This window comes from Homo sapiens, chromosome 17 (assembly GCF_000001405.40).
Source record: "Homo sapiens chromosome 17, GRCh38.p14 Primary Assembly".
Taxonomy (NCBI): domain Eukaryota; kingdom Metazoa; phylum Chordata; class Mammalia; order Primates; family Hominidae; genus Homo; species Homo sapiens.
This window is the reverse complement of record NC_000017.11, coordinates 69,056,273-69,082,425: the sequence shown is the minus strand read 5'-3', so window position 1 is coordinate 69,082,425 and position 26,153 is coordinate 69,056,273. Positions and strand designations below refer to the sequence as shown.

The 26,153-nt window shown below is 37.9% G+C and overlaps 2 protein-coding genes and 1 long non-coding RNA gene across 12 annotated transcripts in view; 2 read left to right on the top strand and 1 right to left on the bottom strand.

Annotated features, from left to right (window-relative positions):
- ABCA6 (ATP binding cassette subfamily A member 6) overlaps positions 1 to 3,724 on the top strand; it is a 63,194-nt gene extending 59,470 nt beyond the window's left edge. Inside the window, exons 37-39 of the mRNA NM_080284.3 lie at positions 1,281 to 1,360; positions 3,161 to 3,216; positions 3,352 to 3,724. Of these exons, the coding sequence (NP_525023.2) occupies positions 1,281 to 1,360; positions 3,161 to 3,216; positions 3,352 to 3,453 (238 nt within the window). The 3' untranslated portion in view covers positions 3,454 to 3,724. The remainder of the gene's footprint in view (positions 1 to 1,280; positions 1,361 to 3,160; positions 3,217 to 3,351) is intronic.
- Positions 3,449 to 26,153, top strand: part of ABCA9 (ATP binding cassette subfamily A member 9) — a 104,490-nt gene continuing 81,785 nt past the window's right edge. For 5 of the 10 annotated variants that reach the window (XR_007065256.1, XM_017024011.2, XM_047435107.1 and 2 more), the window contains exon 1: positions 20,323 to 20,417. Coding sequence is in view for 3 of the 10 variants with exons in the window: in XM_017024011.2 (XP_016879500.1) it covers positions 20,407 to 20,417 (11 nt within the window). In the remaining 7 variants the exon portion in view is untranslated. Of the gene's footprint in view, positions 3,467 to 20,322; positions 20,418 to 20,594; positions 20,831 to 21,498; positions 21,561 to 26,153 lie in introns of those variants that run through there. The other 5 variants (NM_080283.4, XM_047435106.1, XM_017024012.2 and 2 more) reach the window with 3 other exon arrangements.
- LOC124904051 (uncharacterized) lies at positions 22,334 to 23,287 on the bottom strand. The gene is made up of 2 exons (XR_007065889.1): positions 22,911 to 23,287; positions 22,334 to 22,738 (listed from the first exon to the last, which is right to left on the bottom strand). It is a non-coding gene; the product is annotated as an uncharacterized LOC124904051 (long non-coding RNA).

Here is a 26,153-nt window from a genome sequence, read left to right as displayed (position 1 = left end):
ATACCTTAAAATAGAGAGTGGAAAGGGGTATGTGTGTATGTGTGTGTGCATGCCCACATATCTGTGTGTGTGTGTGTGTGTGTGTGTGTGTGTGTGTTTGTGTATGTCTGTATGTTATTTGGGGGAGGGCAAGAAGGTGGAGCAGAAACTGAATTTGAAATTCCCGTGGAGAGATAAGTACATCAAAAAATAGGACATAAAAGCTACTATTTTATTTTAGCACAGTGTAAATGTAATTAAATTTTCTAAGATAGATATCAGAACATGTAACTTTGTCCCATTCCCAGACGTTTGGTGTCACAAATCAGAGAAGTGGTTCTGATATAGGTGGGAAGATCAAAAATGATAAAACAGAAAGAGCAGTGGCTGGTCTGAAAAGGGCCAATCTTGGACATCTGGTCAACCTTAGTGCCACCTGGGAGCACCAAACCCCTGTTTGGGAATAAGCTGGGAATAGGGCATGAGGGTTTACAGCCAGAAGTAGCACACGGAAGCAAGATGCCCCAAATCAATTACGTCTCTTCCTTAGAGGTCAGGAAGTATTTTGTTAAAGTGTTTTATGTCCTTCCTCTACTGCAATCTCCAACTCTCCCAACCTCATATTATTCTTTACAAGTTAGACTTCTGGGAGGAGGGGGAATCAAGGAGATTCCGAGGTTTTTTGGTTGGCAGCCCAAGCTCTATTGATTTCCTTACTTCTAGATTGCCCTAGGGCCTAGAAAAAGCCTTCAGAATAAATATGTCTTCCTTACAGATCTTTCGCCAATATCAACCTCCATCTCCAAGATTTGCCACTATTTATGGTTTTACAAAATAGTCCTGAATTTACTTTTGTTTAAGTGTTTATATTTTCCATTGTAAATGTAAAGCAAATTGCTGGAAATGTAAGAAATAAAGAAAAAATTCATTCATTAAAAAAAACAAAACAATGAATTAGCTTTCTGATGACAAAGATGAACATTTATTTTGGGGTTAATTCCCAACCTAATTCGAACTAATCAAAGGGAATAGTTCAGAATACCTGATTTTCAACACGCAAAGGTTTTGCATAAGCTGAGCACATATATAATTATGCTGAGTTATTACCAGGAGAGCTGTCTGCAACAGCCAGATACCAAAAAGCAATTCAAAACAATGCTGTGATTTCATATTTAAGCCATACATTAATTTGCATTACTTTTATTTTAAGAAGAAAATTGTTGGTAATATCAATATTTATTCTGATGCTCATTTTCTCCCCTTGAAACTCAGAGCTGAAAACGACATCTTCCTGTTTTCAGGTATTCCTCTTTGTTAACCTATAAGCTGCCCGTGGCAGACGTTTACCCTCTATCACAGACCTTTCACAAATTAGAAGCAGGTAAGAGTGACCACATTCAAATAAATCTTTTGAAGAATCAACTAATACTAAAATAATAATTTAATGGAAGCTAATTGTGTAACAATTTTTTAAAATAGGGCTGTAGGGCATGATTTTTAAGAATTCTAACTGTAGGTAATGGTGAGATTTAATCCCAATTTAGGTTACTCTGACTCTGTGAAAAGAGGTTAATCTCCAGTGCAGGGACCGAAGCTGCAGGAAACACACATGCTTAACTGTTCTTACTGTGAAACCATGGCATCCCCCTCTAAAAGCCCCTCTGTGTGGCCTGCTTTGCCTACATGTATATAATCCATTCACACCAAGTGTCCCAAATTATTACTTTACTCCCTTTCTTTCCTTACATATCCACCTCCTTCCCACTTTTATCCCTCAGTTGATGCCCTTGCTTTATATTTCACTAATAAAATAGAAGCAACAGAGAAAGTTTCCATCCATCCATCAACCTCCTTGTGTCTGTGCAGGTGTATTTGGCCTTCCTATTTGAATGATAGCTTTGACCGTCCCCTGCATTGTGTGTAACTCCTTTTGCTGGTTGTAATTGTCCACACTCTCTCTCCTGTCATCATTTTCTCTGCTTTCAACCCCGTCATTCCCAACAGCAGACCATTGGGTGTAATTTCTCAGCACAGCATAATGGTGAAGAGCTCAAACTTTAGAGCCCATCTTTCTGGGTTCTCAGCCCAGGCATGCTGCTTACTAGCTGGGTGACGTTGGGTGAGGTACTCAATCCCTGCATATCTAGATGGTTCGTCTCTGCAATGATGGATACTATTAGTGCCCACTTGGCCATGTTGTTAGGATTAAATGAGTAAATATTTTAAGTGCCTAGAACAGTGCCTAGCTCATTGTGTTTGACATAATATATATCATAATATATATCTCTGCTTTGTTCCTTCCATGCTAGATAGATGACTTTCTAGTTCTTCCTAAATGCTGCCAGACATGTAAGCTCCTGCCTCAGGACTTTGTACTTGCTAATCCTTCTTCCTGGAATTCTCCTTCCTAAACATCCAGGCTTCTTCCTCCCATTTTCAGATGTTGGTTCAATTATTACCTTATTAGTGTGGCCTTCTCTGACCATCCGGTAAAAAAGAGTGCCTAGCGCTCCCTATTTATTTTTACCAACTTTATTTTTCTTTAAAGCCACTATCATCATTAACTTTATCATATATGCAGTGCTTGTGTATTTAATGTCACTAATTCCTCCCACTAAAATGCAAACTATATCAAGGCAGGAGTACTTGTCTATTTTCTTGACTGTTCTGTTTCTGCCATCTAAGAGTGCCTCACATGTAGCAGATTCTTAGCGTATAAATGGTGAAGTATGCACATGTGGATATGTGAATCTGGTGACAACTGTCATGCAGACTTTTTGGTGGGGAAGTCCAGCAGAGAGGTGATATAACAGATGAACTGGCTGAAGGGAGTTTTGAGTTCTCTTAAAGAGGATGGGATAGGATCTTCCTCATGTGTAAGAATATTTTGATCAATGATGTAGTTCTTCAAAGAACATATGTATCTTCCAAAGACATACGCACGCAATACCAAAACAAATATTATTGAAACATAATATGAGAAAATAACATCAATATTAACATAGTATATATTTATATTAATTCTGTATGGCTTTCATTATTTCATCCTTACATCAAGCATTGGCTTATTCAGCTTTATTTATATTAATGATTTACATTTTTATTCTTTATGATTTTGAAAAAATTCTTGGTAATAAATTGTAAGCATCTACTATTAATACTAGTCTTTTTTTTCCTCCAGTGAAGCATAACTTTAACCTGGAAGAATACAGCCTTTCTCAGTGCACACTGGAGAAGGTAAGTCAAGTGGTTTGACTTTGTATCATCTGGTAAATTTCACATGAAAGCAACATGCATTTTCCTGTTCATTTGGAAGACCAACAACTTGATAATCTCTCTTCCTTCTTTCCTTCTTCTTTGTCTCCTAATTAGGTATTCTTAGAGCTTTCTAAAGAACAGGAAGTAGGAAATTTTGATGAAGAAATTGATACAACAATGAGATGGAAACTCCTCCCTCATTCAGATGAACCTTAAAACCTCAAACCTAGTAATTTTTTGTTGATCTCCTATAAACTCATGTTTTATGTAATAATTAATAGTATGTTTAATTTTAAAGATCATTTAAAATTAACATCAGGTATATTTTGTAAATTTAGTTAACAAATACATAAATTTTAAAATTATTCTTCCTCTCAAACATAGGGGTGATAGCAAACCTGTGATAAAGGCAATACAAAATATTAGTAAAGTCACCCAAAGAGTCAGGCACTGGGTATTGTGGAAATAAAACTATATAAACTTAGAATTTTTTAAAAATATGACTTTTTTACCTTTTACAAAACATTCTCTTGCTGAAATATGTGAAGGGTATATTCAGTAGCCAAGAGTTGCATGACTACTTCACACCAGTTCATGATACAACAGGTATACAGGTTTTCTTTTATAACCAACTACAACTCAAGAGTCTTCTGAAAGTGTTCCAGAAATTGCTTTAAAACTCAAAAGTAAGGGGCCAGGTGCAGTGGCTCACGCCTGTAATCCCAGCACTTTGGGAGGCCGAGGCAGGTGGATCACAAGGTCAGGAGTTCGAGACTAGCCTGGCCAATATGGTGAAACTCCATCTCTAATAAAAATACAAAAATTAGCCGGGCGTTGGCATTTGCCTGTAGTCCTAGCTATTCGGGAGGCTGAGGGAGGAGAATTGCTTGAACCCGGGAGGCAGAGGTTGCAGTGAGCCATGTGCTAGTGCACTCCAGCCTGGGTGACAGAGTGAGACTCTGTCAAAAAAAAAAAAAACAACAAAAACAAAACCAAAAAACCTCACAAGTATTAGGAGGTCCTTGGACACACAAGTAGACAAGCACTCATGTTGAAAAGTAGTTCCATTATACCTTTTGAAAATAAAGGGAGTCACAGTAGTATTTGTTCAGATTTTTTAAATTTTGCATACTCTTAACAACATTAACTTATTGTTTTCAGGGGGTGCTAATTTTCCTTGTCATCTTTGAATAGTTTTATGGGATTTGATATTTTTTAAAATCATTTCTCCCTTATATAAGTGTATGTGCATGTAGGTGTATCTATATATTTTCCACATATCTTTTATATTATTTAATTTTTAAAATACCTGTCAGTTTAACATATTACTTTATTCTTTCCCTTAAAAATAGCTATTTCATTCTGAATATCACCAAAAAAAAAAATTCAAAGACCAAGCAGTATTCCTTCTGTGATTTTTTGGTGTTCACATATTGTACATAATAAGGGGTTCAATTCAACAAGAGGAGTTAACTATCCTAAATATATATGCACCCAACATTGGAGCACCCAGATTCTTAAAACAATGATTTCTAGATGTATGAAAAGACTTAGAGAGCCAAACAATGGTAGTAGGAAACTTCAACACCCCATTGACAGTGTTAAATTGACCACTGAGGTAGAAAACTAACAAGAAATTTTGGACTTCAATTTGACACTTGACCAATTGGACCTAACAGGCATCTATAGAACACTTCACTGATCAGCACAGAATATACATTCTTCTCATCTGCACACAGAACATACTCCAAGATTGGCCACATGCTCAGACATAAAGCAAGTCTCAATACATTTTAAAAAGTTGAAATCATACCAACCATACTCTCAGACCACAGAAGAATAAAAATAGCAATACCAAGAAGATCTCCCCAAATCATGGAATTACATGGAAATTTAAAAACTTTCTCCTGAATGACTTTTGGGTATGATGAAATTAAGGCAGAAATTAAAAAAAATTTTTTGAAATAAATGAAAACAGAGATACAACATACCAAAATCTCTGGAATACAGCAAAAGCAGTGGTAAGAGGGAAGTTTATAGCACTAAATACCTACTTCGAAAAGTTAGAAAGATGTAAAATTAACACTCTAACATAACACCTGGTGGAACTAGAAGAACAAGAACAAAATCCCAAAACTAGCAGAAGAAAAGAAATAACTAAAATCAGTGCAGAACTAACAAAATTGAGGCCCAAAAATCCACATGAAGAATAAGTGAAACCAAAAATTGGTTTTTTGAACAGATAAACAAGATCGATAGACAACTAGCTAGACTAAAAAAGAAAAAAAAGAGAGAAAATCCAAATAAGCACAATCAGAAATGACAAAGGCGACATTACAACTGATCCCACAGAAATACAAAAGATCCTCTGAGACTATTATGAACACCTCTATGCACACAAACTAGAAAATCTAGAAGAAATGGATAAATTCCTGGAAACACGCAATCTCCCAAGATCCAACCAGGAAGAAATTGAAACCCTAGCAGACCAATACCAAGTTCCAGAATTGAACCAGTAATGAAAAATCTACCAACCAAGAAAAGACCCAGACCAGATGGATTCACAACTGAATTCTATCAGACTTACAAAAAAGAGCTGAGCAATTTTACTGAAACTATTCTAAAAATTCACAGATGAGGGACTACTCCGTAACTCATTTTATGAAGCCAGCATCACCCTAATACCAGAACCTGGCAAAGACACAACAAAGAAAACTACAGAACAATATCCCTGGTGAATATAGATACAAATATCCTCAGCAAAATGTAAGCAAACTGAATTTAACAGCACATCAGAATTTAGTTTACCATGATCAACTTGCCTTAACTCCTGGGATACAAGGTTGGTTCAACATACACAAATCAATAAATGTGATTTACCACATAAAGAGAATTAAAAATAAAACCATATGAGTATATCACTAGATGTGGGAAAAGCCTATGATTAAATCCAACATCCCTTCATGATAAAAACCCTCAACAAAATAGGCATTGAAGGAACTTACCTAAAAATAATAGGAAACATCAATGACAAACCCATAGCCAACATTATACTGAATGGGCAAAAGATGGAACCATTCCCCTTGAAAACTGCAACAAGACAAGGATGCTCACTTTCACCACTCCTATTCAACATAGTACTGAATTTCTTGCCAGAGCAATGATGCAAGAAAAGGAAATAGAAAGTATCCAAATAGATGGCCACACAAAAAATAAATTCCTAGGAATACATCTAACTTATCTAACCAAGGAGGTGAAAGATCTCTGTAAGAAGAATTACAAAACACTGCTGAAAGAAATCATAGATGACACAGAAAAATATGACATGCTTATGGATTGAAATAATATAGTTAAAATGGCCATACTCCCCAAAGCAATCTACAGATTTGACACTATTTCTACCAAACTATTAATGTCATTTTTCATGGAATTAGAAAAAATATTTTAAAATTTATATTAAAAAGCCTGAATGGCCGAAACAACCATAAGCAAAAAGAACAAAGCTGGAGGCATCACATTACTTGACTTCAAACTATACTATAAGGCTACAGTAACCAAAACAGCATGATACTTGTACAAAAAAGGCATATAGACCAATGGAACAGAATAGAGAACACAGAAATAAAGCCACACACCAATAGCCATCTGTTCTTTGACAAACAGACAAAATAAGCAATCGGGAAAGGACTCCGTATTTAATAAATGGTCCTAGGATAGTTAGCTAGCAATATGCAGAATAATCAAAGTGGACCCCCACCTTTCACCATATACAAAATTTAACTCAAGATGAATCAAAGATTTAAACATAAGACTTCAAACTGTAAGAATCCTATGAGAAAACCTAGGAAACACCATTCTGGACATCTGCCTTAGGAAAGAATTTATGACTAAGTCCTCAGAAGCAATTGCAACAAAACCAAAAATGGACAAGCGGGACCTAAGTAAACTAAAGAACTTCTGCACGGCAAAAGAAACTATCAACAGAGTAAATAGACAACCTAGAGAACAGGAGAATATATTCATAACCTATTCATCTGACAAAGGTCAAATATCAAGTATCTATAAGGAACTTATTTCAACAAGCAAAAAACCAGTAATCCCATTAAAAAGTGGTCAAAAAACATGAACAGACACTTCTCAAAGGAAGACATACAAGCAGTCAACAAACATGAAAAAATGCTCAACATTGCTAATCATCAGAGAAATGCAAATCAAATCCACAATGAGATACCTTATTATACCAGACAGAATTGTTATTATTAAGAAATTAAAAAACAGCAGATACCAGCAAGGCTGTGGAGAAAAGGGAACACTGCCACTGTGGAAAGCAGTTTGGAGATTTCTCAAAGAACTTAAAATAGAACTACCATTTGACCCAGCAATCCCATTATTGGGTATATAACCAAAGGAAAATGCACACAAACTAGAAAACCTAGAGGAAATGGATAAATTTCCAAAAAAACATGACCTCATATGTTAATCACAGCAGTATTCACAATAGTAAAGACATGGAATCAACCGAGATGCCCGTCAGTGGTGGATTGGATAAAGGAAATGTAGTACATATATACCCTGGAATCAAAAGGAATACCCAGCCATAAAAAGGAACAAAATCATGTCCTTTGCAACAACATGGACACAGCTAGAAGCCATTATTCTAATCGTAGTAATGCAGGAACAAAACCAAATACCACATGTTCTCACTTATAAGTGGGAGCTAAATATTAAGTATTCATGGACATAAAGATGGCAACAATAGTCCCCCAGGGGACTAACAGACGAGGGAGGGAGGCAAGGAGAAACTAACCATTGTTTACTATACTCACTATCTGGGTGACTAGATCATTTGTATCCCAAACACAGCATCATGCAATATACTCATGTAAGAAACCTTCACATGTATCTCCTGAATCTAAAATAAAAGTTGAAATTATAAAAATAAAAATATTTTTATAGTCAATGAAGAAAATTTGTATAATAGAGAAAAATATAGAAATTAAATAAAATTGAATAAAAGAATCACCATGTCAAGGAGAGAATGGAGCAAGATGGTAGAATAGTTCTCACCAGTGATTGTCCTTCTATAAAAACATCTATTTGAATAACTATCCACAAAAAGGTCTTCACAAGAGCTAAGAAAACCAGGTGATAAATCACAATACCTGGTTATAGCATAATAAGAAAAGAGGCCAGGCATGATGGCTCATACCTGTAATCCTAATGCTTTGGGAGGATGAGGTGGGAAGATCACTTGGGACCACGAGTTCAAGACCATCCTGGGCAACATAGCAAGACCCTATCACTACAAACTACAAAAAAAAAAGTAAAAGTTAGCCGGGTGGTATGTGCTTGTGGTCCAAGCTACCCAGGAGGCTGAGGTGGGAGGACAGTTTAAGCCCAGGAGTTTAAGGCTGTCTCTGTCTCCTTCAGTTTTACTCTGATCTTAGTTATTTCTTGTCTTCTGCTAGCTTTTGAATTTGTTTGCTCTTGCTTCTCTAGTTCTTTTAATTGTAATGTTAGGGTGTCAATTTTAGATCTTTGCTGCTTTCTTGTGTGGGCATTTAGTGCTATAAGTTTCCCTCTAAACACTGCTGTAGCTGTCCCAGAGATTCTGGTATGTTGTTTCTTTGTTCTCACTGGTTTCAAAGAACTTATTTATTTCTGCCTTAATTTTGTTATGTACCCAGTAGTCATTCAGGAGCAGGTTGTTCAGTTTCCATGTAGTTGTGCAGTTTTGAGTGAATTTCTTAATCCTGAGTTCTAATTTGATTGCACTGTCTTCTGAGAGACTGTTTGTTATGATTTCCATTCTTTTGCATTTGCTGAGGAGTGTTTTACTTCCAACTATGTGGTCGATTTTAGAGTAAGTGCTGTGTGGTGCTGAGAAGGATGTAATTTCTGTTGGATGGAGGGTGGAGAGTTCTGTAGATGTCTATTAGATCTGCTTGGTCCAGAGCTGAGTTCACGTCCTGAATATCCTTGTTAATTTTCTGTCTTGTTGATCTGTCTAATATTGACAATGCAGTGTTAAAGTCTGCCACTATTATTGTGTGAAAGTCTAAGTCTCTTTGTAGGTCTCTAAGAACTTGCTTTATGAATCTGGGTGCTCCTGTATTGGATGCATATATATTTAGGATAGTTATCTCTTCTTGTTGCATTGATCCCTTTACCATTATGTAATGCCCTTCTTTGTCTCTTTTGATCTTTGTTGGTTTAAAGTCTGTTTTATCAGAGACTAGGATTGCAACCCCTGCTTTATTTGCTTTCCATTTGCTTGGTAAATATTCCTCCATCCCTTCATTTTGAGCAGCCTATGTGTGTCTTTGCATGTGAGATGCATCCTGAATACAGCACACTGATAAGTCTTTACTCTTCATCCAATTTGCCAGTCTGTGTCTCTTAATTGGGGGCATTTAGCCTGTTTACATTTAAGGTTAATATTGTTATGTGTGAATTTGATCCTGTCATTATGATGCTAGCTGGTTATTTTGCCCATCAGTTGATGCAGTTTCTTCATAGTGTTGATGGTCTTTACATTTTGTTTTTTTTTTTTGCAGTGGCTGGTACCAGTTTTTCCTTTCCATATTTAGTGCTTCCTTCAGGAGCTCTTGTAAGGCAGGCCTGGTGGTGACAAAATCCCTCAGCATTTGCTTGTCTGTAAAGGATTTTATTTCTCCTTCACTTATGAAATTCATTTTGGCTGGATATGAAATTCTGGGTTGAAAATTCTTTTCTTTAAGAATGTTGAATATTGTCCCCCACTCTCTTCTGGCCTGTAGGGTTTCTGCCAAGAGATCCACTGTTAGTCTGATGGGCTTCCCTTTGTGAGTAAACCGACCTTTCTCTCTGGCTGCCCTTAACATTTTTTCCCTCATTTCAACCTTGGTTAATCTGATGATTATGTGTCTTGGGGTTGCTCTTCTCGAAGAGTATCTTTGTGGTGTTCTCTGTATTTCCTGAATTTGAATGTTGGCCTGTCTTGCTAGATTGGTGAAGTTCTCCTGGTTAATATCCCGAAGAGTGTTTCCCAACTTGGTTCCATTCTCCCCGTCACTTTCAGGTACACCAATAAAATGTAGGTTTGGTCTTTTCACATAGTCCCATATTGCTTGGAGACTTTGTTCATTCCTTTCTATTCTTTTTTCTCTAATCTTGTCTTCATGCTTTATTTCATTAAGATGATCTCCAATCTTTGGTATCCTTTCTCCTGTTTGATCGATTCAGCTATTAATACTTGTGTATGCTTCACAAAGTTCTCGTGCTGTGTTTTTCAGCTTCATCAGGTCATTTATGTTCTTCTCTAAACTGGTTATTCTAGTTAGCAATTCCTCTAAACTTTTATCAAAGTTCTTAGCTTCCTTGCATTAGGTTAGAACATGCTCCTTTAGCTCAAAGGAGTTTGTTATTACCCATCTTCTGAAGCCTACTTCTGTCAATTCATCAAACTCATTATCTATCCAGTTTTGTTCCCTTGCTGGCAAGGAGTTTTGATTTTTTGGAGGAGAATAGGCATTCTGGGTTTTTGAATTTTCAGCCTTTTTACACTGGTTTTTCCTCATCTTCGTGGATTTATCTACCTTTGGTCTTTGCTGTTGGTGACCTTTGGATGGAGTTTTTGCGTGGTCGTCCTTTTTGTTGATGTTGATGCTATTGTTTTCTGTTTGTTAGTTTTTCTTCTAACAGTCAGGCCCCTCTTCTGCAGGTCTACTGGAGTTTGCTGGGGGTCCACTCCAGACCCTGTTTGCCTGGGTCTCACTGGCGGAGGCTGCAGAACAGCAAAGATTGCTGCCTGCTCCTTCCTCTGGAAGCTTCATCCCAGAGGGGCACCCGCCAGATGCCAGCTGAAGCTCTTCTGTATGAGCTGTCTGTCAACCCCTGCTGGGAGTTGTCTCTCTGTCAGAAGGCACAGGGGTCAGGGACTCACTTGAGTAGGCAGTCTGTCCCTTAGCAGAGCTCAAGCACTGTACTGAGAGATCCACTGCTCTCTTCAGAGCCAGCAGGCAGGAACGTTTAAGTCTGCTGAAGCTGTGCCCACAGCCGCCCCTTCTCCCAGGTGCTCTGTCCCAGGGAGATCAGAGTTTTATCTATAAGCCCCTGATTGGGGCTGCTGCCTTTCTTTCAGAGATGCCCTGCCCAGAGAGGAGGAATCTAGAGAGGCAGTCTGGCTATAGTGGCTTTGCTGAGCTGTGTTGTGCTCCACCCAGTTTGAACTTCCTGACAGCTTTGTTTACACTGTGAGAGGAAAACCACCTATTCAAGCCTCAGTAATGGCAGACACCCCTCCCGTCACCAAGCTCGAGCACCCCAGGTCGACTTCAGACTGCTGTGCTGGCAGTGAGAATTTCAGTCTAGTGGATCTGACATTGCTGGGCTCTGTGAAGGTGTGATCTGCTGAGCTAGACCACTTGGCTTCCTGGCTTCAGCCCCCTTTCCAGGGAGTGAACGGTTCTGTCTCACTGGCGTTCCAGGTGCCACTGGGGTACAAAAAACATTCCTGCAGCTAGCTCGGTGTCTGCCCAAATGGCCATCCAGCTTTGTGCTTGAAACTCAGGGCCCTGGTGGTGTAGGCACCCAAGGGAATCTCCTGGTCTGTGGGTTGTGAAGACCATGGGAAATGCATAGTATCTGGGCCGGAGTGCACCATCCCTCAAGGCACAGTCCCTCACGCTTCCCTTGGCTAGGGGAGGGAGTTCCTTGACCCCTTGTTCTTCCCGGGTGAGGCAACGGCCCACCCTGCTTCTGCTCCCCCTCAATGGGCTGCACCCACTGTCTAACCAGTCCCAGTGAGATGAACTGGGTACCTCAGTTGGAAATGCAGAAATCACCCGTCTTCTGCGTTGATCTCGCTAGGAGCTGCAGACCAGGGCTGTTCTCTTTTGGCCATCTTGCCCGGGAGCTGCATTTTATTTTTTTAATTTTTGTATTTTTTTGATCATTTATATTTATGCTTTAATCTTTTTCTTATCTATTATATAAGCATTTTATGTAATTAAATATTTTATCTGTATATTTTACAGATATAATTGTATCTGAAGAGTTACATTTCCAAACCTGTGATAAATAACCTATAATTTGTTCATTCTGGAACCATTAGTGCTTTATAAATGTAAATTTGTTTTACAATGATAGTTGAATTTATTTAAATTATTTCTAAAACCCAAGCAATAAATTCTCCTGTCTTGCTCAAATGAATAACATGACAATATATATAACCACTTTCAATAACAATATAATGAAATCTTTGCTTGTGTTTTTGATAAACTATAAGTTTTCTTAAGTGTTATGGAAATGTTTACAAGATACCGAATAACCAACATCAGATATAGTATAAAGGTTTTAAAAGTTTTAAAATGGACATAGTTTGCTAAAAATATCATAATATGGTTGTTTTTCAAGCTATTAATGGGTTTTTATTAAGATTATATTTAGGAGCAGATTAATGATTCTGAAAACGGAAGATCAGAATAAAACAAAAGAAGGGATCAAGAGAAAAATGGAAAAAGAACTAAACTATTTCAACGCTGTCGTAGAGAGATCTAGTGCAGGCTTTACTCTCTATTTCCCTAACACACCCCTTGTAAAAGAAGCTGACCACTGTGTACTGCATCACCAATTCTCTTCTTTGATGCCTGGATTCCAGCTGGGTTTGATTAATCCAACAGGAAGTAGCAGCAACAGATTGAGGATAGAAGGAAAGGGAGGTCAGACCCTCCTCCCCTGCTTTGGTACCAGATCTAGTGGTGAATGGATCCTTGAGGCCCACAGGCTTTGCCCTCCTCCAGTTACACTCACCTGTTTCTTCCCCTTAAGGGGACTGACCCCAGGAATGTCTCCCCCGGCTGCAGGCCACACTCAACCTCCAGCAATTCATCAAAATTACCATTTATGCATTCCGTCCTACCAATTTCTGGCTCTAGTGATTTCTGCTCCAGGTAAGCTGATCTTGGCTGTGATTCTCTGTATTCACTTGTTTCTCTGGATTTTAGGGTTGTAGTTTGCCCTGAAACCTCAATCTCTGATGGGTCCAAGAAATATCACTGATTTTCAGTTTGCTTAGGTTTTTTCTTACTGCAAGAAAGCGAATAATGACTTCCACGCTCTTTACATGTTGGAGGTGAAGAAATTGAATTTTAAATTTTATTGATTTTTAATTAATTAAAATTTACATTTAAATACTCACATGGGGCTAGTGGCTACCTTACTGAAGAATGCAGTTTTAAAGTTAATCATATCTTTGTCCTCTTCCTAAACTATAAGATTTTTAGGGAACTTAGCTCTGATCATGGCTCTCTCCTCCCATATAACTGCTGTTTGATACTTGAGTTGTCCATTGTGTTTAACACTGCCCCCTGCACACATTAGTCATTATCATCATTAGTTTGCACAATCAATATTTATTTAGTTCACTAATATATTTATTAGTTGCTAGCATTCACCTACTTCTTTCTGGATTCAGTTTTTTCTTCTTCTTGGAGGATATTTATTAGTAGTTCTTTCAGAGATGTCCATAAAATAGAAATCTCAGTTTTTTGGGGTAAAGATATATCTATTTTATGCTTACACATGAATTATATTTTAGCTGGTTTGTCAATCAGCCTTTGCCAAACCACCTTAAAACTTACTGGCTTAAAATAGCAATCTCCTTTTAGCTTTGTTTTCCTGTTTCATTTCTGGCATCTGGGTATTTATTTTTCTTTAAATGTGATCTCTGTTTTTGTTACTTCTTATTTAACCATTTTATTTATTTCCTTGTTGAAGGAGCATTCACATTAGCATAGTTCAACAATAGAAATAGAAATAGCAATAAAGATTTTGCTATTATCTTACAAAATCCCACTGTGTGGTATTTTGGTACAAATAAATTGAAAAGTAACTGGCTTGATATCTTCTTAAGGTTTTTTAAGTTGTATGCTAAATACACTAGAAAACTTGCATAAAATACTCCCAGGATGGGCTCAGAGGAATAATGATTGTATATTGGAAACAATAATTTTAGATGACCAAATACATTTTTGTTTGAAGTTTCCGTTGAATGTTTATAAAAAGGCTGAACACCTGAGATTCCTATGTAACAGTAAATAATTTCTCTGGAGAAAAAAGACCTAGGCAAAATCTAACATATATTAATTTAATCAAACATCTTAAAACAAATACAGAAAGAATTAGTGCCCCCCAGATATTGTGGAGTGGGGCCTAGATTTCCTGGCCTATAAGATAAGGAGCCAAGATTTCCCAGTGTTTCTGTTTAGGTTTCCTGCACAGAGATGAGCATCTACTATAACAAAATAAACTCTTTGTTTTTATGTACTGCCCCCAACAGAAGCTGACAAGAAATGCAATGGCAGCAATGTTTAGTTCTTTCAAACCCAGTGAGCTCTGTGAGGCTTCTGAACTCTGACTATAACTTGTAATGTAATTGTAATTGTTGGTGATGTTTGAGGAGCCCAGGCTTACTAGTTAGTCTTATATAGGGTAAGAATAAAAAAGAAACCTGTATAACCCAATTTCTTTCCTTCTTTCCTTCTTTCTTTCTCTTTCTTTTCTTTCTCTTTGTTTCTTTCTTTCTTCTTTCTTTCTTTCTTTCTTTTTTCTTTCTCTGTCTCTCTCTCTTTCTTTTTTTTTTTTTTCCAAGGTCTCACTCTGCTTACTCTGTTGCCCAGGCTGGAAGGCTGTGGCGCCATCTCAGCTCACTGCAACGTCCACCTCCCAGGCTCAAGGGCTCAAGTGATGTTCCCACCTCAGCCTCCAGAGTAGCTGGAACTGCAGGCATGTACTACCACACCTGGCTGATTTTTTGGTATTTTTTGTAGAGACAGGGTTTCACCATGTTGCCCAGGCTGGTCTGAACTTCTGGACTCGAGAGATCCTCCCACCTTGGCCTCGCAAAGTACTGGGATTACAGGGCACAATGACTTTCTTTTATAAATTCAAAGTTGAAGAATATAAATTTAAAAAATATTAAATCATATTTAATTATATATTAAGAAAATTTCCATTCATACAAAAATAGCAAAAATATTACAAAATTTAGCATTAAATATGTCAATTCTTTTTTTATTGCTATTTTTGTATTGGTGCTAGTGTCTTAGGTATGAGTAACTCAGTTTATTCCATAAGTACGGCTTTTCTCTTGTACATTTAAAGCATTTTTCTGTCAAGTCTTTAAGTCACTCACTATTTATCAGTTTCAATAGCTATCGATGCCTTTCCTGATCCATCAATGATTTTAATTAATGATAAATAACTTCTAAAAATATGTTGTTTTGAGCCATCAGTTCAGAGATAAACCTTACAAATTTTCCTTTAGTTTCAAGGAGCATTTCTTAAGGCAGCAGGACTTATGAGTTCCTGACATGTCTAAGGCAATCTTCCACTCTCCTTGATACCTATTTGAAGACTCCTCACAGTATCCTCAAGTGCCCAGCACATCTGTTGGTTTGTTCTTAGAATTTGCTTCCTACTTCACAGAAAAATCTTAACCCTGAGGACGGAAATCTTTACTTCGTGTTGTCACATTTTTTAATCCTCTCAGCTTTCACTGGCACTTCCTTTTTTTCTTGTGACAGAGAAAAAAAAAAACCTGTCCCATCTGATCCAATACCGTCTTACGCAGCCCCTCCAAAAAAGCAGCACTCCACCTGTTACTGCGTTTCTCCTGCGTGTTCAGCGTTCTCCTCCTCACTTTCCCTTTTTAAATGTTGTCTTTAAAAAACAAAATAACAACCTTTTCTTGACAAAAACAACTCACTTAAACTACCACCCAACCTACAACCTTTCTTTTATAACTAAGCTTCTTGAAAAAAAAAAGATACTTTTTTTCTTTTGTTTTCCTACCTCACATTCAATATTATACATTTAAAACTTAAAACATATGTATTGAGCAACCTTCATGTTCCAGGCTCTGTGAGGTACACAGCGGTGATGATTTTGTACCCTTCAGTTGTTTACAATCTATGGTGTGGGAGAAATGAGTATATTTAGCCTAAAAGACAGTGAGGTACATACTACAATAGCAGTAACCACAGCGTGCTGTGGGGGCACCTGGAAGGGGCATGGAACCCATATGCAATGAGGGCAAGGGTATCAGTTCGTTCTCACGTTGCTAGTAAAGACATATTTGAGACTGGGTAATTTATAAGGAAAAGAGGTTTAATTGATTCACAGTTCATGGTGGCTGGGGAGGCCTCAGGAAACTTACATTCATGGCAGAAGGGGAGGCAAACATGTCCTTCTTCACAGGGTGGCAGGAAAGAGAAGTGCCGAGCAAAAGGGGGGAAAAGCCCCTTATAAAACCATCAGATCTTATGAGAACTCACTCTCTATCACAAGAACAGCCTGAGGGTAACTGCCCTCATGATTCAATTACCTCCCACAAGGTCCCTCCCACGACACATGGGGATTATGGGAACTATAATTTAAGACGAGATTTGCCGGGGGGACACGGCCAAACTGTATCAGCAAGGAAGGCACCTTGTGGGAGGAGAGATCAGAGCTGAAACCTGAAGGAAAAGTAGGAGCTGAGCAGATAGTTGTAGTCACCAGAGAAGTCCACTTGTGAACCGGAGTTAGTTACAGGAGAGCAAAGAGAGGTAAATGAGAACATGATGTACTTATTAAAAAAGAAAATCATGTAGAAGTATCTGGCTTGAGTTGGAGGAAGGAGACAAGGCAAGGGAAGAGTGGAAAGAGAAGAAAGGACCAGATAATTAAAAAAAAAATTCTTGTACATTTGCAAAGAGATCAGGACACAGTCAAGGCAGTAGTGGGAATGATATCATAAAAATTCTATGTCAGAAAGATTGTTTATATGTGATGTGGAAATAGATTGCTTTCCCATTTCAAGATGGCAGATAAGCAAAGGATAGACACAAGGACAACATTGCTCAATATCTAATAAACTTCCAAGAGAAAAGAATAGAGAGACTAGAAGGAAAGCAATATTTGATGAAGGTATTAGTTAAAATTTTCCCAGAACTTAAAAAGGAGACACAAGTTCTTTGATTGCAAGTGAACACAAAGTGCCATGTAGGACAAAACCCAAAAATCTATACCTGAGCACACTGTCATGAAATTCCCTACACTTGTGGTTAAAGAGAAAACCCTAAGATGTCTTCACAAGAAAAACAAAAAAACCTCAAACTTACGAGTACCAAAAGCACTTTATCATCATATCTGGATGAGAAAGCAATAACATGCTATTTTTAAAGTGAGAAATATAAGACATTTTCAGTCAGAGCTATAAACAAAAACAGAAAACAATAATGGAATGACAGAGTAACAAAAATACAGATAGAGAAAATGAACAGATTTGTTATAGTAAAAAAAAATTTACAAATGGCCAAAAAGTATATTAAAATATGCTTGACACCACTAAGAAATATAAGTTATCAAGGTGGTACTATTTTTTATTAATCAGACTGGTAAAATTTACAAACACCTATAATGTCTAGTTTTGACACAGCCGTGGAGAGTAGAGTCTCTAGCATTTGGTGAGTCATCCCTCATTGCAAGCTACTGCACTCAATACTTTACATATGTTATTTCCTTTAATCTCTACCATCTCCCCTCCACCCCAAACCTAAATTTATAAATTCTAAAACACCCTTGTTAGATACTATTGTGTCCTCTGGATCTCACAGATGAGAAAACTAAAGCTTCCTGGGTAAATCATTGGGGCTCCAAGGTAAGTTACTTGCCTTGCATTGCAATTAGTAAGAAGTAGAGCTAATGTTTTAAGTTCAAATATGCTAACGGGTGTATCCTATAAGGAGCAGGAAGATGGGGGAGAAAGATGTATAGAGACATAGGCTGATTTTTTATATTGCCAGAGTAATGTAGATCCTGATACGTTTGTTAACATTTGAGGGTTATCACTAGTAGAACAAAATACTGATCCAGAACTTTATAGATGATAGTTGGGGAAAAAGGAAAAGGGGAACCTGAAAAAAGGAACAGAGAAAACACAATCACTACAGAAATGGATAAATGGGAAATAACAGGAAAGCGTAATTTAAAGAGACCATAAAATAAGATGACTGGAAGAAAAGGATTGGGTAACCAAAGGACTTACATCCCCTTCCCTGCCCTGCCCATGGATAGTAGAAGATTTGCAGATAAGGTAAAAAGAGAAATGCAATTATACTACTTCAACAGGCATCCTTTAGGCATGTAATAAAAGTTTGTCAAAATATATCTGAGAAATGCAAATTGCAAATGAAAGTGGAGGGCAGGAATATATCACACAAAGGATATTTCAAGGCAAAAAAAGCACAAAACAAGACCAAGTAGAATTTATTACATTTTTAAGAAACAAAGAGGGCCAGGCGCGGTGGCTCACGCCTGTAATCCCAACACTTTGGGAGGCCGAGGCGGGCGGATCACGCGGTCAGGAGATCGAGACCATCCTGGCTAACATGGTGAAACCCTGTCTCTACTAAAAATACAAAAAATTAGCCGGGCATCGTGGCGGGCGCCTGTAGTTCCAGCTACTTGGGAGGCTGAGGCACGAGAATGGCATGAACCCGGGAGGCGGAGCTTGCAGTGAGCAGAGATCACGTCACACACACACACAAAAAAAAACAAACACAAAACAAAACAAAAAACAAAGAGAAATGTTTGGAGGATATCTGACAAAACTCACATGCAGGCAGTGCAGCCAGATCTGAGAAAGAATGAAAAGCAAGAAGATAAAAGCCCCTGGAAAACAAGCAGACATTCTCAGTCTTTATCAGGCAGCTGGACCGCTTCATCCTTCTCTCTTTACAGATCAGGTTTTTCTGTTTTTGCACAGTGTTGAGAAGGGCTGCACACAGGTCTTGGGGTGACAAGTCCTCCTTACAAATAGCCAGCAAAGATTCCAAGAAGAATGTTGTAGTCTGGTGCAAAACACATCACATGAAATTTATAAGGTTTCTGGCACTGGAGAATACTGCCGCAAAATAAATGAAGCAAAAGGCAAGGAAAATTGTAAAATATGTGCACATAAAGTAAGAATAATGGAATAAACAGAGATATATGCAAATGAGACAGCATAGCATTTGTAATTTGAGCTCATAGACTCTACAGATTGTCTGAGTTTTAACTCAGTTTCCGCTACTCACCATCTGTGTGAATTTGGGCAAGTTATGTAACTCCCTGGGCCTCACCTTTCTGGTCCGTAAAATGGGTTGATTAGAATAATGCCTACCTCATGGGATTATTCTGTGGATTAAATGTTTTAATATTTAAGTATGTCTTAGACACAATAAATGCTATATGTAGTTGCCAAAAAAAGTGTACATTATGGTATAAAATCAGTGTCATTTCATTTTTGAACTCCCATGGGATTGTTTTTGAATTGGTAAACTGATTCAAAAACTTCTTTATAAGAGTAAATACGTCGGGCGCAGTGGCTTCTGCCTGTAATCCCAGCACTTTGTGGGGCCAAGGTGGGTGCATCATTTGAGGTCAGGAGTTCCAGACCAGCTTGACCAAAATGGTGAAACCCCTTCTCTACTAAAAACACACAAAAATTAGCTGGCCGTGGTGGCAGGTGCCTGTAGTCCCAGCTACTGTGGAGGCTGAGGCAGGAGAATCGCTTGAACCTGGGAGGCAGAGGTTCCATTGAGCCGAGATTGTGCCACTGCACTCCAGCCTGGGTGACAGAGGGAAACTCCGTCTCAAAATAAATAAATAAATAAATAAATATTAAATATTGTTTAATCTAGAAAATATTAAAAAGAAGATCAATGAGAGGGAGCTTGCTCTGTTATAGTGCCACAGAGATTACAGTGTGGTACACTGAAGGAAACATTGAAAACAGAATTTAGAACCGAAAGTCAAAATCAACTAGGTCCAGAACTCATAAGCTCTAACCTAGGTACAAAGTTCTTCTAGGAAACAAGTTACTGAAAAAAAATTTCCTAAATTATATTCTCTGTGCACAAAATGTTGGCGATGTTATTAAATGTATTGAATGTGATAATTTTGTATTTTCTGCAGAAAATCAACCAACCTATAACCTTTTCTGTAGACATATGGAAACAATCAGAAGTCTTTTTTTTTTTTTTTAAGTTTGACAGTCTCATGGATTCAGGAGTTCAGCCTACTTCCACAGACTGCTTGCTGAGCAACTTCTGGATCGCATATAATTAGAAAAAGGATAAATATAATTGAATCAATATTGAGAGAATGGGAAATGGGTAAGGAAGATTTCATTTGGTTATCATGGTCCATGAGACACAGATAAGAGGCTGATTTAAGAATTGCATGCATTTATTGTTTCCCTTTCAGCTGTATGTTCAGGAAGAAATTACAGTACTGAAGAATTTAACAGACTTACTGGCTGTAAGCAGAATGATAGTGGTCCTTTCCCCCCTCTTCTTCAGCCAAAGATGAACTCCATGAATTATAAGAATTTTGGAACAGTCTTTTCTTCTACTTACATAAGATGCTCAAAAATAGACAGAATGGCATCTATTACCAGTTAAAAATGTTTCTCTAACAATACTGGAAAGCAGGACATACTAAAATTCAGTAGTTACTGGTGGAGAAAGTAGTTTGTTTCATGGGAACCGTTGCAGAGATGACAAGCCTGGAGGCTTTGAGAGCACAGGTAATTGTTATGTGAGATTTCTCTAAAGATTCTGCTCGCTTCAGTACCATGAAAGATGAAAGATGCTACAATTAGTATGCACACAATGAAACTGAGATGCAGATGGAAACTCAGAGTTTCTTTTGTTACCCTGAAGAAAATTACATTGCTTTATTGCCGTATTTCTGGATTCAAGTTTTAAGAATCTGTTGAAGGTTTTAAATAGTTTCTAACCCAATTTGTATGTATTTACTTGTCACTTAAAATATATATATATATAACATATATATTTATGTATTTTTCACTTTGTTCTGCTCTACTCTTCTCTGGATTGGCTTCTTACTTATCTTTGTTTAAATCATTGTGTTGGGGTCAACTCTCCCATTAGGGCCTTGTATGAAAAGACCGATTGAGAAAGGCTAGATTCTCCTTGGTTTGATAGTTCCTAATGTTTTGATATGTCCAGCCAACCATCTGCAACTACAAACTCCCTGCTGAGTAACTAGCAGGAAACAAAGAAATGGAAAACAGCAAAGAAATCACCACGTGAGCAGAAGATATTTTGGCAGGCTAGCTGAACTGAGACCAGATTCTCCTGGGAAATTTGTATAAAACAGAACTATTCACAATGAATGTGAAATTAAAAGCATGATGTAGTAGTGACCCAAAAGGAATGTGAATTCTCCTCCAGAACATGCAGAGACCCATGGATGAACTGTGTTTCTAGATTTTTCCTCCAGCTTTCCTGAGAGTAAGTTAACCTCTAAAATTGTGGTTATTTTGCATATAGAAATATAACATAAGACTATAAATAGGCATGCCAGACGTTTAGGTAGAAACCATTAAAAGCAGTAAGTTATTAACGAGTCATTTTGACTTTTTAAATCATCTATTTTATTTTGTATGTCTAAATAACCAAATGAAGAACTAAGAATTTAAATTTTTACCCCGTAACTAAAACATTTTTGGACAAATAGCATACATTATCTAATAGGCTATTGAATAAATCAAAAGAAATGTCACGTTATGTTGCTTCTTTACAAGTATGAACTATTTCCAAATTTATTTGAATTACTTACTCTTCTTTGTTTGTTTTTAATTTTACTGCCAGAGGAATTGTAAGCATTGCAGGATGCATAATTTTCTGAGTTTTGAATTGTTTTTAAATGGCTTGAGAATATTTTCATCAAGAAAACTTAAGGAAAGATTTTTATTGATCTTGTTTATTATAGTAACTATTTTAAAATTTTGATCTAATTTGTTGCCCAGTGCAACAAATTAGAAAAATTTGTTCTGTGAATAACAGGAATTTTATCTGACTGGGAAATGATTGGCTTTTTATAACCAATTTATTATTTCTAAATTATACAATTTCCTATTCAGAACAATTTAAGCTAATTAGATGTTTTATATTATTACGGTGGGTAGTATATTTTTTCTCTGATATTTACACTAAGATGTTCAGTGGGGGGAAAAATCAGTCTTAACGCTCAGAGATAAATAACCACATTCATGACAATGAGATTATGTAATTGTTTTTTATTCACAAATATTTTCTGGCACACACATTAATTCACAGAAAGAAAGAACAGTAGTCACGTGGGCACAATATTTAACCCTTTCAGATACTGAGGTTTATCACCGCTTGATTTCTTAGTTGGAAATGTTGCAGTTTGGTTTCAGGCAGGATTTCCAGGCTATCACAGCCTGCTCCGATGGCATGATTATTAGGAGCTCATCTGCATCACTGGTGAATTTCTTTGGTCACTTCTGGACAGTTTTTAAACATAAGTCCATGCCCTTCTTTGTTCTGCTGATGAGGCACGTCATAAAATAAATGTCCAGCAATGTCTTCCTGTCTTGTTCTCAGGCCTCAGGCTCTCGGACTCCTTCCCCCAACCCTGCCCCCATGTTAACTTTCTATTGCTGCTGTAAAAAAAAAAAAAATGACCACAAACTTAATGGTTTAGAACAAAACAGAGTTATCATCTTACAGCTCTGGGGGTTAGAAGTGTGATGTGGTTCTCACTCGGCTAACATCAAGGGGTTGGCTAGGCTGTGTCTCTTTCTGGGGGCTGTAGGGGAGAATCTGTTTTCTTACCCTGTGTAGCTTCTAGAGGTTTCTTGCATTCTTTGGTTCATGGTCTTCCTCCTCCATCTTCAAAGCCGTAGCAGCAGAATGAACCCTTCTTCTACTGCCTCACTCTGATCTTGTCTGCCTCCCTGTTTTACTTTTTAGCACCCTTGTGATTACACTGGGTCTACCCAGATAATCCAGGATGATCTCCCTATTTCAAAGTCAGCTGATTAGCAACCTTAATTCCATCTACTGCCTTAATTCCCCTTTGTCATGTACTGTAACATATTCACAAATTCCAGGATTAGAACGGGACCATTATTCTGCCAATCACATTTCTCTTCAACTATGCCTTGTGATATAGTTTGGCTCTGTCCCCACTCCAATCTCATCTTGAATTATAGTCCCCATAATCCCTATCTGTCATGGGAGGGACGCAGGAGGAGGTAATGGAATTATTGGGGCAGGTCTTTCCTGGGCTGTTCTCATGATAGTATTCAAGTCTCACGAGATCTGATGGTTTTATAAAGGGGAATTCCCCTACCCAAGCTCTCTTGCCTGGCACCATATAAGACGTGACTTTGCTCCTTATTTGCCTTCAGCCATGATTGTGTGGCCTCCCCAGTCATGTAGAACTGTGAGTCAGTTAAACCTCTTTCCTTTATGAATTACTCAGTCTCAGGTATGTCTTTTTTTTTTTTTTGAGACAGTCTCACACTGTCACCTAGGCTGGAGTGCAGTGGCGGAATCTCGGCTCACTGCAACCTCTGCCTCCCAGGTTCAAGCGGTTCTCCTGCCTCAGCCTCCCAAGGAGCTGGGATTACGGGCACTCGCCACCACACCCAGCTAATTTTTTGTATTTTTAGTGGAGATGGGGTTTCACCACGTTGGCCAGGCTGGTCTCGAACTCCTGACCTTGTGATTCACCTGCCTCAGCCTCCCAAAGTGCTGGGATTACAGGCATGAGCCACGGTACCTGGCCTCAGGTAAGTCTTTATTAGCAGTGTGAGAACAGACTAATACACCTTGCCCTTCAGACTTCAGTAGCAGCACAGTATTCCCTGCAATAGACCATGGATAGGCTCCATCTCTGGTACTACCCCCTTGAGGCTGACTTGAATAAATCGTCTTCCCACTTGAGCTGTCTCTTGAATACCAGAAGGGGTCAGCATATTCATGGCTTTGCTCCTGCCATGAATATGGCAGGATGAACCATGAACCTAGGATCCAGGAGCACCCTCATTAATAAAACCATTGAAGGGGCAATAGCAACCTTATGATTGCCACTCCTGTTCAACATGGCACCAAAAGAGGATACCATTGATGTGAAAACACAGGCCTTATTAGTCAACTGGCCTTGTGCTCCACTATACCAAGACTTGAACTACTACCTTTGAATCATTTCCTGGGTGAGTTTCCCATCCTAGAATGTTGGGTTTGTTAGCTAAGATTAGGTCTTACGTTTTCTTTATCAGTTAAAATAGTTCATGTTCACTAAAGCTCTACAACTTTCAGACCATCGTTGTTATTCTCCCTTATATACGACACCATTATGTAAAATGGTGTCATATTTGCATTTAACCTATGTATATTCTCCTGCGTACTTTAAATCATCTCTAGCTTACTTACAATACCTAATGCAATGTAAATTCTATGTAAATAATTGTTATACTTTATTGTTTCAGGAATAATGACAAGAAAAAAAAAGCTTCTACATGTTCAGTACAAACCTAGCCATCCTTTTTTTCTGAGCATTATCTACCGCCAGTTGGTCGAATCCACAAGTGCAGAACCCACAAATACAAATGGGTGACTATAGTTTTTGAGCTGTGTTAACATGAAAGAGTATAAATAATTACATTGTACCCGCACTACCAAACTGAAACTGTCATATCTGAAGTAAGTTACCTTCATTATGTTGTAGTAGGTCAGTTAATGGCTTTTGGACAGACATATCCTGAATTCTTTGTTTGTTCTCTGCAAACAATTCTATAAAGACTTCCTAAAGCCTATAAAGACTTCCTAAAGCCTAGGCCCATGTTTTAGAAAGTGAAAGTCTGGCTGACTGGTGGATCTGTGTGCAAGCCTAAAGGCCACTCTCTCTCTCTCTCTTTCACTCTTGTAAGCCTAGGCCCTTATGTGGGTTACCCTCAAGGCCAAGGCTGAGCCCATAAGCAGGCAGGCATGGGTGATTGTCTCTCATTGAAAATAGCAGAGCAACATTGGTGCCTACAAATGATTATCCCTATATTGATTTCAATAATACAATGGTAGAATGAGGTATCTGTTTAAGTACCTTCAAGGACAATTTTATGTGATTTGTTTATCTCTATTTGGCTGATTCATTCTCCCTAACTCCACCTCCCACCTATCCACATATGTATAGGAAGGTTATAGCCATCATAGATGTGAAGATTAGTTTGGGTGCTCTTTTCTATCAACAGTAAAAGCGGGCCATCTACTTTGCAAGAATAAAGTTTGTCTATAATACACCAAACCTATTCCTTGACTCAACAGTCCATTCCACAATAATTACATTTTTATGCCCATACCGTCTCCCCAAAATGCATTTTCACACCATTGAACACTAGTTAAAACTATGAGTTCCAAGTCTTCCTACCTCTTGGGATGTTTCATAGGAAAATCTCTATTGACCAAGTGACATAGATCTGGCTTTTATTTCTGTGCCTCTTCATCACCACATATTTAACTATTCCAAAATAGTTATTACCACCATCACTCTACTCTAGTTCCTTCTGCTCATTATCTCTTACACAGTATATCCTATCTAATTAGGCTTCACCTTATGAAGTAGGCTTTTGTAAATATCCCAGGGGATGAAGGACGAGGAGTTGAAAGATACAGAACAAAGATTCAGAATTGTATTTCATTTTCTGCTTCTAGCATCTAGAAGAGATTGTAGAGTGTTGAAATAATTTCTTCCTTAACAGTCTGATAGAATTTCCCAGTGAACCCATTCACTGGGGAACCACCAGTGATGCTTTCTGTTTTGAAGATTATTGATTATTAAATCAGTTTCTTTGACAGATAAAGGTTAATTCAGATTGTTTATTCTTGTGTGAGTTTTGACAGATTGTCTCTTTGAAGGAACTGATTCGTTTCATCTAGGCTATCAAATTTGTAAGCCTAGGGTTGTTCATAATATTCTTTGATTGTCCTCTTAATGTCTATGAGATCTGTAGTGATGCCCCCTCTTTCATTTCTAATATTAGCAACTTGTGTTCTCTCCCTCTTTTTTCTTAGTTA